This window comes from Homo sapiens, chromosome 12, assembly GCF_000001405.40.
Source record: "Homo sapiens chromosome 12, GRCh38.p14 Primary Assembly".
In the NCBI taxonomy this organism is placed as follows: domain Eukaryota; kingdom Metazoa; phylum Chordata; class Mammalia; order Primates; family Hominidae; genus Homo; species Homo sapiens.
The window spans coordinates 44,386,945-44,402,229 of NC_000012.12; the positions used below are offsets into that span (position 1 = coordinate 44,386,945).

Here is a 15,285-nt window from a genome sequence, read left to right on the forward strand (position 1 = left end):
AGTAACAATAACGTTAAATAATGTTACTTCAAATACAAAAGAAAAAAGTTTTGGCATAATACATAAAATTATTATAACTAAAGCTTCTGGAACCTGGTACATACGTCCCCTAACTTGCTACAGCAAACCTATGAGGTAGGTATTACTGTATTATTATAATATACATGATACTTGCAATAATTTATAATAAAAAATTATAATAGAATCTAGTATCACTCGAAAGTTTTTTCACCTTTTGTCCATTTGTAGAAATCATAATAAAAATTATAATGGACTCTAGTATACCTGAAAAGTTTTCTAGTATACCTGAAAAGTTTTTCCACATTCTTTCCATTTGCAAATGTAAAAATATCATTTGATAAAAGATCATTAAATATTGTATTTATATAAGATTTTAAATATTAAAAAAAGAAATAATAGTTGCAATCTCTTCAAATATATCTTTTCAAGCAGTTCATAAGGTATGGTTACATTTATGTCTGATAAATGCATTTTGTTCAATGAGAATTTGATGTAATTATTTTTAAAGTCTTGAATGCTCAAGGATTATTGATCTGAATCACATCAACTAATGGTTTAATCAACAGGTCACCTACAAACAGCAATATGAATTAATTTGATATACTGCTGTGCTTGCATTGCAAAATGATTTATTTCTTGCCCAGACATAATTATAAAACTGTAAGAGATGTTCAATCATACATTGAACTTTTCTAAGAATTTCATTAGACTTTGTTTTTTCACATTAATTGAAATGTTCTAGAGGATAACCTACATGGAACCAAATTTGAGTATAGCTGTGGTGCCTATAAAACAAGGAGACTTAATCTTGTTAGTATAAATGCCATAAATTACTGGCTCAGGGACCTACAGTTGTGTTTTCATATGCCCAGAATCCATTTAGTAAATTCCCTTTGCCAATTCACTTAATGGCAGCACAGCACTCTCAAAATATTAATTGTTAACCAGTCTGAAACATTAACAATTGATGTTATTATACCATTATCCTCATTTTATTGTAGAAAACCTTATTGCAATTTTATGGCCCTTTGATTAATGCAGTATTTCTTTTTTAATGCAGGCAAATGGTTTAACTATGGAATTATCTTCCTCGTCTTGATTTTGGATCTTAATATGTGGAAGAACCAAATATTTTATAAACCTCATGAATATGGGCAATATATCGGCCCGGGGCAGAAGATATATACAGTGAAAGACTCAGAAAGTTTAAAAGATTTGAACAGAACCAAGCTATCCTGGGAATGGAGGTCCAATCACACTAACCCTCGGACTAATAAAACATATGTTGAGGGAGACATGTTCTTACACAGCAGGTTCATAGGAGCCAGTCTTGATGTCAAGTGTCTGGCCTTTGTTCCAAGCCTGATAGCCTTTGTGTGGTTTGGATTCTTTATTTGGTTCTTTGGACGATTTTTGAAAAATGAGCCACGCATGGAGAATCAAGACAAAACTTACACTCGCATGAAAAGAAAATCTCCATCAGAACATAGCAAAGACATGGGAATCACTCGAGAAAACACCCAGGCTTCAGTAGAAGACCCCTTGAATGACCCTTCTTTGGTTTGCATCAGGTCTGACTTCAATGAGATCGTCTACAAGTCTTCCCACCTAACCTCGGAAAACTTGAGCTCACAGTTGAACGAATCTACTAGTGCAACAGAAGCTGATCAAGACCCAACGACTTCTAAAAGTACACCTACGAACTAGACTCGGAGATAGACTTGGAGATAACACAAAAAGCAACCTTGAGTGTAACTTTAAAAATTTAGTCTTTCCTTTTGTATATGTAAGGTTTACGTAGTGTTAGGTAAAAATATGAACAATGCCACAACGGTGCTCAACATGCTTTTTCTAGGATTCATTGTTTTCTATTTGTATTATAATACACGTGCCTACTGTATACTCAACAGTCCTCTAGAGATTGCTTTTCACAATTGCACAAGCTATTACTGACTTTACAGCATAGTGGAAGATTAGCTGATGACCCATGTATCTGATGTTCAACCATAGTGGTGCCTTGAGACATTAAACTGTTTTTAACTGTACCAGAAATGAAGTGTGGAACAGTTACCTAACCTATTTCACATGGGCGTTTTGTATACAACTATTTTGATCTACACTTGATGTCTGAGCAGAAAACAGAAATAGCTAAATGTGACTCAGGAAGTATCTCTTGGTTTCTTATTCAGCAGCAGAGTTGGTGACTTTGACAACTGGACTGCAGAGAAACATGGTGATCACCTTTTAATTTTTATTGGCTGTCTGCCAAATATAAATACAGATGCAAAATTCAGTAATAGGAGATCCATAACCCAACATGGGTCACTACTCGTGAAATGTGACTTTCTCCCACCAGTAATTGAAATGAGGTGATGATACCTAATTATGTTTTCCTAATTAAAGATAAATTGCTACTTGATTAAAAATCCTGCCCTTCACCTTTGGGAACAAAGGTTAAGAGACACAGTTGGGCGAACTCTCAAATTTATTGGCATTTACACAAAGTCCCAGACAACCAAGGAACTGAAGTTTTCATCATATGAGAGCAGCACATCCCACCATTTACAATATTCGTATATCTTTCTGCAAATATGGCTCTGGATAGTGAAAATTGAAAAACATATGCCAACCCTGAGCAAGGGAACTCCTCAAAAAATCATGCAGCGGAACCTTGTCAGGTAGAGAAGCCGTGCATGAAAGAATTTGTTTAATGTCTTGTTTTGCGTATGTGTTTTTTGTTTTTGTTTTTTAAGAACTAAATATTGCACATTAATAAATAAGAATTATACAGCAGTGATTATGTGATGTAGTTTTTTGTTTAATTGTATCTTGGCTTAAGAAAAGTCCATTTACATGGGGTTTTTATAGCTTGATGCCAGGCAAGTTAAGAGAAGGCACACTGCCAACTTGCTTTCAATTTTGTTCCATAAATTGTGGTTACGTTTCTTGAGGGGGTGAGGGAGATCACTTTTAAGGAAAAATTATTTTCCTGTCACACACTGACATAGCTGCATTTTTTCTTTATGATTTTTTAAATCTCTCTTGTTTTGATCTATCTACTTTTAAGCTTGCAGCATACTGAATTTAGCATGCATAATAGAACTATGCATTTATCTGTCACTTGAGAGCCAGCTTTAATAAACATCTTTACTAAGCATTTGGAACCATGCCCCTGCTGTTACTTTTACCTTTAATAGCCATGCATGGTGCTACTTAGAATCATAAACATATCTGACACACACACACACACACACACACACACACACAAATGCAGAGATCAAGCTCACTATAGTAACCCATTGCCCATACTATCTAAAGGAACTTACCATGTATGTCTGATAGGTGGCAACACTAGCTATTACTAAATTTTGGCAGCCTAGAACATTCAACTTTTAGCTCTGGGACATGTAAATAATAACACCTAGTACCACATTTTTATTTATTCTGAAAGTCATTGTCTTATAGAATGACGAAAGAAGTTGATTTAGAAAGTAGACGTTTATTATCAATATGCATGACTTATAAAAATATTATTTGAGAATTTTTACATGGGTATTAATGGAAAATGTTTTAATGAGAAAATCTAATTAGCAGAAGTAAGACAGAAAAAAAATAACAAACTTAGAACAACATGTTTATGTGTTTCTAGGGATTAGCTAGAAAAACTATTAAAAAAATGAAAATATATATTTAAATTTTCATAAATTTAGTAACAAATGGAACAATTTCCAAGGACATTTTAATAGTCAAACAAGACTTCAGCCTTCTAAGGCTTCCAACTGTTGAATTGTATATACTGATAGTGACCTTTTCTTACCTACATATGGATCTACTTTCTTCTTTTGCTGCCTCTTTTGGGTATTGCATTTATACCAAGTAAAGATACTAAAATGAAATAAACTAAAAATTAAATCCATTCACATTCAGTCTTGAATCCTGAGTCATACCAATAGACTGAGACTCTACAGAGATTTTTGAATACCAAAACTTTTAAACTATTAAGGACATTTTAAAAAGAGATGTGTAGCAATCTCAGAAATTGAGGTTAAAAAAAAGGATTTAAAAAATTACTAAGCACAGATTCTAAAGAAAGCTTAACAAATGTGATGTCTTAATTGCAGTGATGCTTAAGTACTATAAACAATTATATTTCTACTGTTCAGTAATTACAGTACTTTCTTCCACATAGTGCAGAATTTGAACTAATTTGACATAATTTTAGTATCCTACATTTATAAAGTACTTCATTAGTAGTTGAAATGGAAAATTAAATAAACACTATGAATTTGTGCCTGATAATATACACTTAGACATAAATCTCATCACCACATGTCTATTTGTATTGTATAATCATAATTAGTTACCCTATTTTCTCCCCATGGTAGCTACTTATGTTACCTTATCTTTTAGCATAGCTGAGATCACCAGCAAATTCTGTTTAAAATGTTAAGAATTATTTCTTCTCCATCTGCCCTAAGAGTCAACCAGGTACAAATTTTTTTTATTTTTGTAGTATCAGATTTCACACAAGTAATGTCCAAAAACACTGCACCACTGGCTGACAGTACAGTGGAAAGAAGTCCAACACAGGCATTCAGATTTGAAGGAGGGAGTCAATACATGGTAGCTCACCACTGGGCTCCATAAGCAATTTTATCACATTATTTGGCTTCCCCATGGGTCACCAACACAGCCCAATATGAAATATGAGAAAGACAATGCTAATAAATCCTAAATGTCTCTATAACTGATAATTCAGGAGGCCAACTGGATTATCTGACATTCAGCTAAGACCTCAGTACCCTGCCATTGTTTCTCATCTGCCTTCACTCTGAACTAACCCTTATTTTAAATTTCAACTCATGCTTAGGCAGCTACAAGTAGGGTATTATGCTTATATTGGTTTTTCCCTCTGAGACTGACTTGGCTCACTACTCTATCTGGCCTGATTTCTTCGAGCTTTGTCCCTCAGAACCCAACTCTGACCTATTAGCCAGCCCGTACCCTTGAGACAGCAAGAGCAACTCAATTAATTCTGCAGCAGATAAACTGGCACTTTCCTCATTTATCCCCATTTAGACGTTTAAACATGTTTGTGTGCATAGAGTTGTAATTAGTGAGTATAAATATAGGTAACAGAGTCAAGCTCAGAAACGTTTGGGTTGCTTCCATTTAGACTGGCCTAGAACTGTCTTATTTGAACAACTAGGGAAGTTTAGATGTAGTATTTATAACTCACAAGTCACTCTTGTTGAAGAAACTAGAAAAAGAGGTGGATATTTATAATGAAAAGAGAAGGTTAGGCAGATGGTGGAGAACAAGTGGAGGTTTCAGCAATGAAATCTTAGAAATAAAAACAGCAGTTTTACTTTAAACAGGCTTTAAAACTGCAGGGAGAGAATAGCCTCTATGAAAGGAACTTTACCATAAAATTCTCATTAGGCTAGTACTCTTATGTGTTGTGTAGAGGACTCAAAAGTTATGTTCAACATAGCTGACTGAGGGTATTACATAAAAGGCTGGTTGGTTGGTTAGTTGTTTTGCTGGTTAGCTGGCTTTTTTTTATTATTATTATACTTTAAGTTTTAGGGTACATGTGCACAATGTGCAGGTTAGTTACATATGTATACATGTGCCATGTTGGTGTGCTGCACCCATTAACTCGTCATTTAACATTAGGCATATCTCCTAATGCTATCCCTCCCCCCTCCCCCCACCCCACGACAGGCCCCGGGGTGTGATGTTCCCCTTCCTGTGTCCATGTGTTCTCATTGTTCAGTTCCCACCTATGAGTGAGAACATGCGGCTTCTTAAACATTCTAGCATTGAAATTACTCTAAGTCTACCCCAGGGAGCATGATGAGACCTGGGAGGGGAGAAGTGTTACTGTGAAAGAAACTACAGTAGGCAACATGAGAAGAGAAAGAAAAATCACATCAATTTAGAGAGACTGGAACATCCTTGATGGAAGAACAAACATCAGGGCAAATTTGGCTTGTAAGCATATTATCAGCATATAAAAGCTGATATCCTGTAAATGAAAATATCTTCCAGGTACTTTCTCCTAGAGAGAGATTCTGAAAAAATTTAATGAGAAACAAAATTGGAAAGTATTACTAATTTAATATGTATAAAATACTACTGATAATATTTTAATTTAGTGTGAGGTATCAATTATTTTACTTTAGTGAATATAAAACATATATTTCACAGGTTTATATATCTACCTCCAACATAAGCTCTCCTAAGGTCTAAATTCCTTAATACCAACTGTACTATTGGGCTTTTTAAGGACTTACATAACTGAGAAAGACCACGATAATTTATAATTGAGAATCACAGTAACAAAACAAATTTATAGATACTCCTTGCTCTAATAAACTTTTTCACCCTATCCAGATCTTTGCTTAATTCTCATATTAATGATACCACCATTTTGAATATTTTCTATGTGAAAATAAATATTCCATTCAATACTCACATTAACCTTAACAATTGAAGGTAAGTAGGGTTAATTTCACTATACAGATGGTGAACCTCAGGCTTAGAGAGGTTTTTTTGACTTGCCCGAGGACTGAAAGCTAGCCAAATGCAAAGTCAAGATTGGAATTCAGTCTTGTCTGACTCCAGTTTTCCATCACAAACATCTATAAACACCCATCAAAACCAGAGTATCTGTATCAAATGGGATCTTTGGTAAGGATAACCTGGGAAATGGTTGTAAAGCCATAAATATGCTTAACTTCTAGCAATTCTTACCGCTCAAGAATCTAAGTCAAATATTAATTTTTAATAACTGCCTGGATGTAATTTACAATTTAAAGCATATGATTGAAACAGATAAGGTCAAATTAAATGGCAAAAGCAGTCAGTTCATTGCCCCGTGTTTTGATTTAAGCTACATTTTTAAAACCACAACACAGATTTGTCTCAATACAATTCCTAGCACTGGAATTTGTTTCTTTTGTCATTTCACTTTCTTTGGGGAAGGGAGACTGGAGCTCTGCATGTTTTGAACACATCCCCAGGAGAATGTTAGAGGAAGAACTGGTAGTTATGAATATTAAAACAAGGGAAAAAAAGATTAGCTAATGGCCAGTTCTAGGAAGCATAATTTGAATATGGGCTCTAGAGACAACCATATTTTGAAAACCATATTTTGAAATGATGACTCCAAATTTATTATTTTTAAGAATCCTTATCCAGGTATCAAGACTGGCCATGAAGATGTTTCCCTTGACGTGATGAGCCCTATTCTCATCCCTGGAATGGAAATTCTTCACAGGGTTTCGAAGAGGACCAAAGAAGACTGTATATATGTGAAAGCATGCAGGTAGCTGCAACAAGTCATGCAGATGTGAGGTGAATATGACAGGCATGGGCTCCAGTCCCCTCTAGTGCCCAGCTTTCAACAGAACCCCCTTGGCTTCTTCCAAGTTGATGCTGCCATTAAACATGGTTAGGCCATTTGCTCCCAATTTTCTGTCCCTGTTGGTTGCTTTGAACTCTACAAGCTGCAATGTAATCCCTTTTCACTTGTAACAGAAGTTCAGATCCCTTAGTTTAAAGCAAGCAGCTATATTGTGTGAAATCAATGGTCATAATCCCTTGGAGCTGCTGGGCCAAACTTATTCCTCAAGGTTTCCTAGGCTCTAGAGTTCTAAATTATTTCCTTCTTTTTATGATTTCTTTACTAGCTTCTCTTATCAGGACACTCTCATCTTGCCAGTAATCCACCACCTTTCATAAATCCTGAAGTGAAAGTGCTTGTGTCTTCAGCATTTAAAGAAAGCTGACACATGCACCTGAGCCCCTGCACTTTAGGATCTTCCAGCTGTATTTGGATGAAGTTGAGGTAGCCACTTCTGAATTGGGATGTCACTCTAGCCTTGCCTTTTAGAAAGCTCACCTTGGCAGCCTGTGGAATCAGGGCAACACTTCAGCCAAGCCACAGTGCTTTGTAGAATAAAATTTTAAAACAGTGTCAGGGTTTTCCATTCACCATATAGACTTATTTGCTTTGAATACATCATTTTATCTGGATAGCAGTTGACTTCAACCAAACCACACTAGAAAATATCTGCATTTAAAAACAGTTACTCTTGACTGAAACAAAATGTGTAAGATGAGACGAAGAGCAATGGCCATATCAGGAAAGATAACTCTAACAATTACTCTTCAAGCTTGATAACCATGAAATTACTATAAAATTATCTTTGAACAAATTATAATGTTTTTGCATTTGAAGCACAACATGTTGAACTTCAAATACACTAGAAAACTCAGAGGCTCTGTCATTTACATATCCAAATGGTCTCCAAAATGAATAGATTTTATTTACTTCTGTCTCCTATAATTGGTCCACTATCCTATTCCCCATCATTATCACTACTGCCATGCTGCAATCTCATATTCTATTCCAAAGATGACTGCAATTAATCTTAATTGGTCTTCCTGGCTCTCACCTTTTCCAGTGCTATCTATTCTCCACACTTGTACCAGAATAATATTTCTGAAGTGTAAATCCGATTGTAACACTTCACACTTTCAGTGGCCAGTTATTGCCCAGCAGTGGTTTTCAAAAGTATTGTGTACAAGTCCAAAATCCCACTGGCTTAACACAATAAAAATCAATTCCTTGCTCATATGGCCACTGAACTGGGTGTTCACTGGGTAGCCTTACATACAATGACTCAGGGACTCAGACATGTTTCAGCAAGAGGTTCTTTGACTTTCTAGGGTCTTACAGTCTTCAGCATATTCAGCAGGCTGGTGATGAAGGAGAGCAGGTGAGGAAGATGCTGTAAGAATTTTCAGGAATAGACTTGGAAGTGGCATATATCACTTCTTGCATTCCATTGGCCAGAACTCAGTTACAGCCTGTGCCTAACTGCAAGGAATGCTAGGAAATGCTGTTCAGCTCTATGCCCACAAAGGACATGGAACAAGTTTCAGGAGTTTCTGGTCAGAAGAGCATTTGCAAAATATGCCCAGCCATGCCTCACACTTGGAAGTACATTCAGTGGGTTTGGGATGGAGCTAGAGCTGAGCTGAGTTTTTAAAGTTCCATAGGTGATTCTCTTACAAACATCAATTTGAGAACCACTAATAAAATGCATATTACTGCCTGGCACTCAAGACTGTATGCCAGCTTCTCTGGTTTTCTCTCCCCTGTCCAGTGACTTCTAACCCTGCAGCCATGTTGAACTACTGACAGCTCTCCATTGCATCACTTGTACCACTCAACTCTGCTTTTGCTCAGTGTCTTCTGTTTGGAATCCGCTTTTCCACCATAACCAGCAAGACCAATTCAAATATCATCTCTTTTATTAAGTCTTTCTTCATCTTCCAAAATAAAATGTACTGCCCCTCTCTTGTGTTCCTATATGACCTACCTTTTATCTATTATAGTATCTTTAGCATTTCTTCCACTATATGTTTATATATCTGTGTCTCCTATTAGATTATAAACATTTTGATCCTGCCTATAATGATGACTTGGTGTGGGGGGGAGGAATTAATTAGCTTTATAGTTTCTGACTCAATAAAATTTGACTGAATAACTACATATTAAGTGAAATAATGTACTTAGAATTGATTCATTTAGGCCGGGTGCGGTGGCTCAAGCCTGTAATCCCAGCAATTTGGGAGGCCAAGGCAGGCAGATCACTTAAGGTCAGGAGTTCGAGACCAGCCTAGCCAACATGGTGAAACTCTGTCTCTACTGAAAATATAAAAATTAGCCTGGTGTGGTGGCGGGCACCTGTAATCCCAGATACTCAGGAGGCTGAGGGAGGAGAATCACTTGAACCAGGGAGGCGGAGGTTGCAGTGAGCCGAGATTGTGCCTTTGCACTCCAGCCTGGGCAACAGAGTGAGACTCCAAAAAAAAAAAAAAAAGAAAGAAAAGAAAAAGAATTGACTCATTTATGTAGCATAATATTCTCAAATTATCTGATCCTCTCCATGATAGAGGACTCCATGACTCTGCCAGTCAAATCCTTTCAGTTAAGAGGGAGGCAGGATTATTTCTTACATTCAATATGGGAAATGAGGGGTAAGAATAGAAAATTTAAAAAATCCAATTTAAAGCGAGTATCCCAGTTGAGCCAGAAAAACTTGAACAAAACTATCAAGTAAGGGAGGCCCACGGTAGGGAGTGAGAGCAAACCAGGACAAAGCATGAGAGAGTTAAAACAAAGAGCAGCCAGTCAGAGGGGGCAGCTAGAAGTCCCCTGCACTAATTTCTGAAACAAGAGTGCAATATCCTCACCTGACTCTTCAGTTTCTTCTTCTACTAGAGCTTTTCATGAGTGAATTGACTGTGATTGATGGGAAGGCAGTTATGTGATGACTGACTCTGTATCTTGAGATGCCAGTCTTTTAAAAGAAAGGAAATATAATGTCCCCATTCTTTATGTTTTTCTACAGTTCATATCTCTAAGTGCAGACCCATAGCACTTAGTAAGTTTACAGGCAGGACCAGACAGAATGAAATTGAGATGATGAAACAGGTTTGCATTTTACATGTTGCTCTCTGAAAGCCACAACTGGAAAATAAACACAAGTCGGAAGCTCTAAAACTCGGACGAACTGTGATTATAGCTGTACTTTTATAACTGGTATCTCAGAACTCCCTAGAAGCTTATTTACATGTTGAAAACATCAATTATTCCTCCCATTTGAAATACATAGTTCTTGTAATCAATTGCTTTGAGTCAATGTTTAGAATTATTCATGAAAGAGTTATATTTTAATGGCATTTGATGAGAACCAGCAGCAGCATCCATTAATTTGATTAGTTGTTTATGGGCTGGAAGAGAAGCCTGGCACCTAGCCCTAAGCAAATCAATTGTGTGAGGTCTAAGCATAAGTATCCATCCAAGCCAGCCTTGCCAGCCAGGATTCTACACAGAGTGACAACAGTGGAGGGAGGGCAAAACGTTAGACAAGAAGTGTCTTACGGCCCCTCTTTCTGCCTGCTTGGCATTTTACCATCAGTTACCTCTTATCTAAAGGCAGTGAGTGTAAGCTGTTTTTCTACTCCACCCTACTCCGGCCCCATACCCTGTTGTCCTTTCTGAAGGACAGAGTAGAGGGATTTCTGTGGGTGGTTGTTTTTTTTTTTTGTTTGTTTTGTTTTGGTTTTTTTTTTAAACCTAAGGACTTAAATATGTATCATCATCCAAGCCTGAAAACAAATAAATCTGGACATTGAAGAAAACAGGAGCAAGAGCCAGGGGCCCAATTCCACTGCAGGTTCCTCTGTTTGAAAGGGTTGAGGAGTAGCTGCCAAAGAAGGCAGAAGAGCCCATGATGCAAGGGATCCAATATGGAGGGAAGTGTAGCAGCAGACACTGCTGGAGCTGGCAGGGTGTTGTCATTGTCCCAGAGAAATCTGTCCAGTTTGAAGCAGGAAGCATTCCTGGGAGAAGCCAAAGGAAAGCCATACAGACAGCCCAAGCTGGGACGTCAACCAGTTTGCATTTTGTGATTGACCAGTCACTTGGCCTCCAATCAAATGGTCTCGGGTTTTGGGCAGGGTACCGGTAGAAAATGGACTGCAGACAAGAGACCAGGCTGTATTCTAGTCCCAACCACCAGACACACCATATGGGGGAAAGTAACACCTCAGTGCCCACCCCACCCCCACACAGGAGGAGCTGGCTCCTGAGAACAGGCCTAACTGCTGGGGGCAGGCTACTGGGACACCGCTGGATTTTGGTAGGAGTCACTCAGTGATTGAACAAAGCCGAATCCACAGACCTAAGGATGCTCCTGCACAAAAAACCAACTGAAATAATGCCAAAGAATAATGCTTTGCTAAGGCAGGGAAGATTGCATTTGTTTTTATAACAGTCTACCTTCAAAAAAAGGTAGTCCTTTCTATAGCTATAATTAAGTCATTATTTGTGTCATTATGAGTTTTAAGTGTATCTTTCCCTCTAGTTATTTGTATGGCTCAATCCTGTATATCTAGTGCCTCTCTCAGGATATATGATAAATGTTTGTGAGGATGGATATGTTAATTAGCTTGATTTAATTATTCCACATTTGTATTACAAAATCATAGCATCATTTTGTACTCTATAAATACATACAACTATAACTTGTCTATTTACAATAAACTTTTTATAACAAGGATATGCTGAGATGGGAGAGGTGAGCAGGTTTCAGCTCATGCTTGGGCCTCATTGACCATGCTGAGGACTTTGTACTTTCTTCTGAAGATAGCAGGAAACCACTAAAGAATTTTAAGCAGAAAATGACATTATTAGGTATAGCATACTTAAAAACATACTCTGACCAAGAAAAGATTTCAAGGCCCCATCAATACAATAAAATAACTAAATCAATTTTGGCTTGACTTTGGTGTCTCAAGATTCCCTCTCCACAACTGGATGAAATTACTCACCACCTGCTTGTGGGAGGATGGCACACCAAACTGGCTCCGGGGATTCTTTTTCCATGTACTCACTCTAGGCAGCAGGGTCATGGTGACAGATGATGCTTGGGCTACCCAGCTGAAGGACCTCAGAAAAGGCTCTTGTAACTCAAGTCTTTATAAGGACAAAAAGGATTACCTGCAAATATTTCATTTCATATAATAAAGTGAAATATATTCTGTTCTTCAAAAAGTTAACCTAAGCCTAGACATAGGGAAGCAATAGCAGATATATCTGGGTTTATATGTACAAATAATATACAAAAGTAGAAAGGTACTCATAGTGTCCCAGTTCTAGCTCCTTAAATCAAAACAAAACAAAAGAAAAACTTCAGTTCTGCAAAGAGTTCTCACAAAACAGCAAGAATACCAATACAAACCCTCTTAATCACTTGTGGTAGACATGGAGATGTGCTGCCCCAGATCCCTTACAAAGCACTTTCCATTCAGCAGCAGGTGATATACTCAGTGAACAGCTTCCAGGTGTCAGCTCCTTTAGGGTCTGCCTCAGCTGTAGAGAGCCACCTTGCCCAGGGACACAGTCTCCCTGGAGCAACACACATCCTGTCATGGAACTATGACATAAGGCCAGAAGAGCCACTGGATGATTAAGCTCCACAGGAAGGCCCAGGAGATGAACATTGACCAAGAACAAATAAATGTATTGGTAAGAAAGGCAATGGCATAATCTAAACGTAGACAACCACATACTCAACCGAATAGTAGGTCCAATCACAGCTGCTGTGCCAGATGCAGTATTTTTGTTAGAACAGTGGTAGCTCTAGCAACCACCAGAGCTAGAGAGGGCCACAGCTGATGGTGAGAAAGGTTGCTATTTACTTGACTTATAGCAATGGAGTTGATGACACCCCAAAATAATTGAGGCCATGTGGTGGTGCTTGAATAATGAAATCCAGGGTGTAATGATTAATTGTGATTCCTGGCAAGGTTAGAGTGGCTTCCAGTGGGTCAGATCTATAGAAAATATAGGAGATGTGTCTTTACAGGCAAAGTAAATGGGCAGTGGACTAGGGTAATACTCAGCCTGCTGCAGCAAAAGAAATTAAGTACAGAGGTTCAGCAGACTAAGCATAATCACCCGAATAAATCATTACCCTTGTTCAGTTTCTAGACCTGAGCCAATTTAAGACCTGAAGCCCGTTGATCAAAGAGAGAACTGGGTCCTCAGGAAGAAAGATCCTAAAACACCATAGCATGTACTATGGCAATGATTCTACCAAACTTCCACATTTTACACACTTACCTGAGTAAATGGCTATAGATCCATTTGGAGGAAAGTTTGGGAAGTATAAGGACATGGTGCCTGCATCCGATGAGAGACTTCTGTCTGTGCCATAACATGGCAGAGGGCATTACATCGTGAGAGGGCAAGAGCGTGTCAGCTCAGGTCTCTCTTCCTCTTCCTCTTCCTATAAAGCCATCAGGGTTCCATCATAGGGCTCTACCTTGATGACCTTGTCTAGTCCTAATAACCTCCAAAGGCCACACCTCCAATCAACATATGAATTTCAGGATTAAGTTTCAACATATTAAATTTGGGGATGTGTTCAAACTACAACAGTGTCATAATAGTCTGTTGTTATATTGAGGAGCACTCAGAAACCAAGTTATAAATGGAGTCCTGGCCAAAATCCGGCTTGCAATAAGTTCACTGGATCCATGGACCTGCCCTGTAGTCATTTCTCCCATCCCTGAATGTATAGTTGAGATTGATACACTTAATACTTGAAGTAAGCTCCACATTTTGTCCTTGGCCTATAGACTGAACGCTATCAAAGTGAAGAAGGCCAAGCAGAAGTCTCTAAAACCAATCATCTATGCCCAGCCAAGATAACAAATTAAAAAATACTGCACCAGAGTGCGGAAGAGTGGAAATTAATGCCACTCTTGAAGACCTCTAGATCCCAGGGTAATCATCCTTATCATATATCTGCTTATTTTACCAGTCTGACCTCTGGAAAAAGCAGGTGGGTCCTGAAGGTAGGATATTACCACAAATTCAACCAAATTATAGTTCCAACCACAGCAGCTGTGCCAACTTCAATATTTTTGCTAGAGCAGATTAATATGTCCTCAAGTACAGCATATGCAGTGATTAACTTATCAGATAAATTATTTTCTATCTCAATCAAAAAAGAGTATTGGAAACCACTGGCATTTACATGAATCAGGCAAGAATATACATGTATAGTTTTACCCAAGGATAACTTTCCTACTGCAGTCACAACATAGTCCAAAGAAATCTGGACCATGTAGATATCCTAGGGAACTTCACATTGATCAATATCATCAATGATACTATAGTTATAGGGGCAAATAAGCAAGAGATAGCTAGCATACAGAAAGTCTTGGTAGTAGATATGTGCCCAACAGGGTAGGATATGGACCCTGAGAAAATTGTGAGGCCTGAAACATTTATAAAATTTCAGGGGCCCCTGTGGTCAGTAACATGCTGACATCCCTTCCAAATTAGTGTACCTTGCACTTCCCACCACCAAAAAGTAAAATAAAATAAAAAGAAACATAATGCCTAATGAGCTACTGTATTAGTTCATTTTCATGCTGCTGATAAAGACATACCAAAGACTGGGCAATTTACAAAAAAAAAGAGGTTTAATGGACTCACAGTTCCACGTGGCTGGGGAGGCCTCACAACCATGGCAGAAGGTGAAAGGCACATCTCACATGGTGGCAGATAAGAGAAGAGAACTTGTGCAGGGAAACTCCCCTTTTTAAAACCATCAGATCTCATAAGACTTGTTCACTATCATGAGAACAGCACTGGAAAGACCTGCCTCC

At 37.9% G+C, this 15,285-nt stretch overlaps 1 protein-coding gene across 10 annotated transcripts in view; it reads left to right on the forward strand.

Annotated features, from left to right (window-relative positions):
* TMEM117 (transmembrane protein 117) overlaps positions 1-12,164 on the forward strand; it is a 603,307-nt gene extending 591,143 nt beyond the window's left edge. For 9 of the 10 annotated variants that reach the window (XM_047429662.1, NM_032256.3, NM_001286211.2 and 6 more), the window contains one exon: positions 1,082-2,814. In XM_047429662.1, the coding sequence (XP_047285618.1) occupies positions 1,082-1,728 (647 nt within the window). In that variant the 3' untranslated portion in view covers positions 1,729-2,814. Of the gene's footprint in view, positions 1-1,081; positions 2,815-7,214 lie in introns of those variants that run through there. The other variant, XM_047429665.1, reaches the window with a different exon arrangement.
* The last annotated feature ends 3,121 nt before the right edge of the window (positions 12,165-15,285 follow it).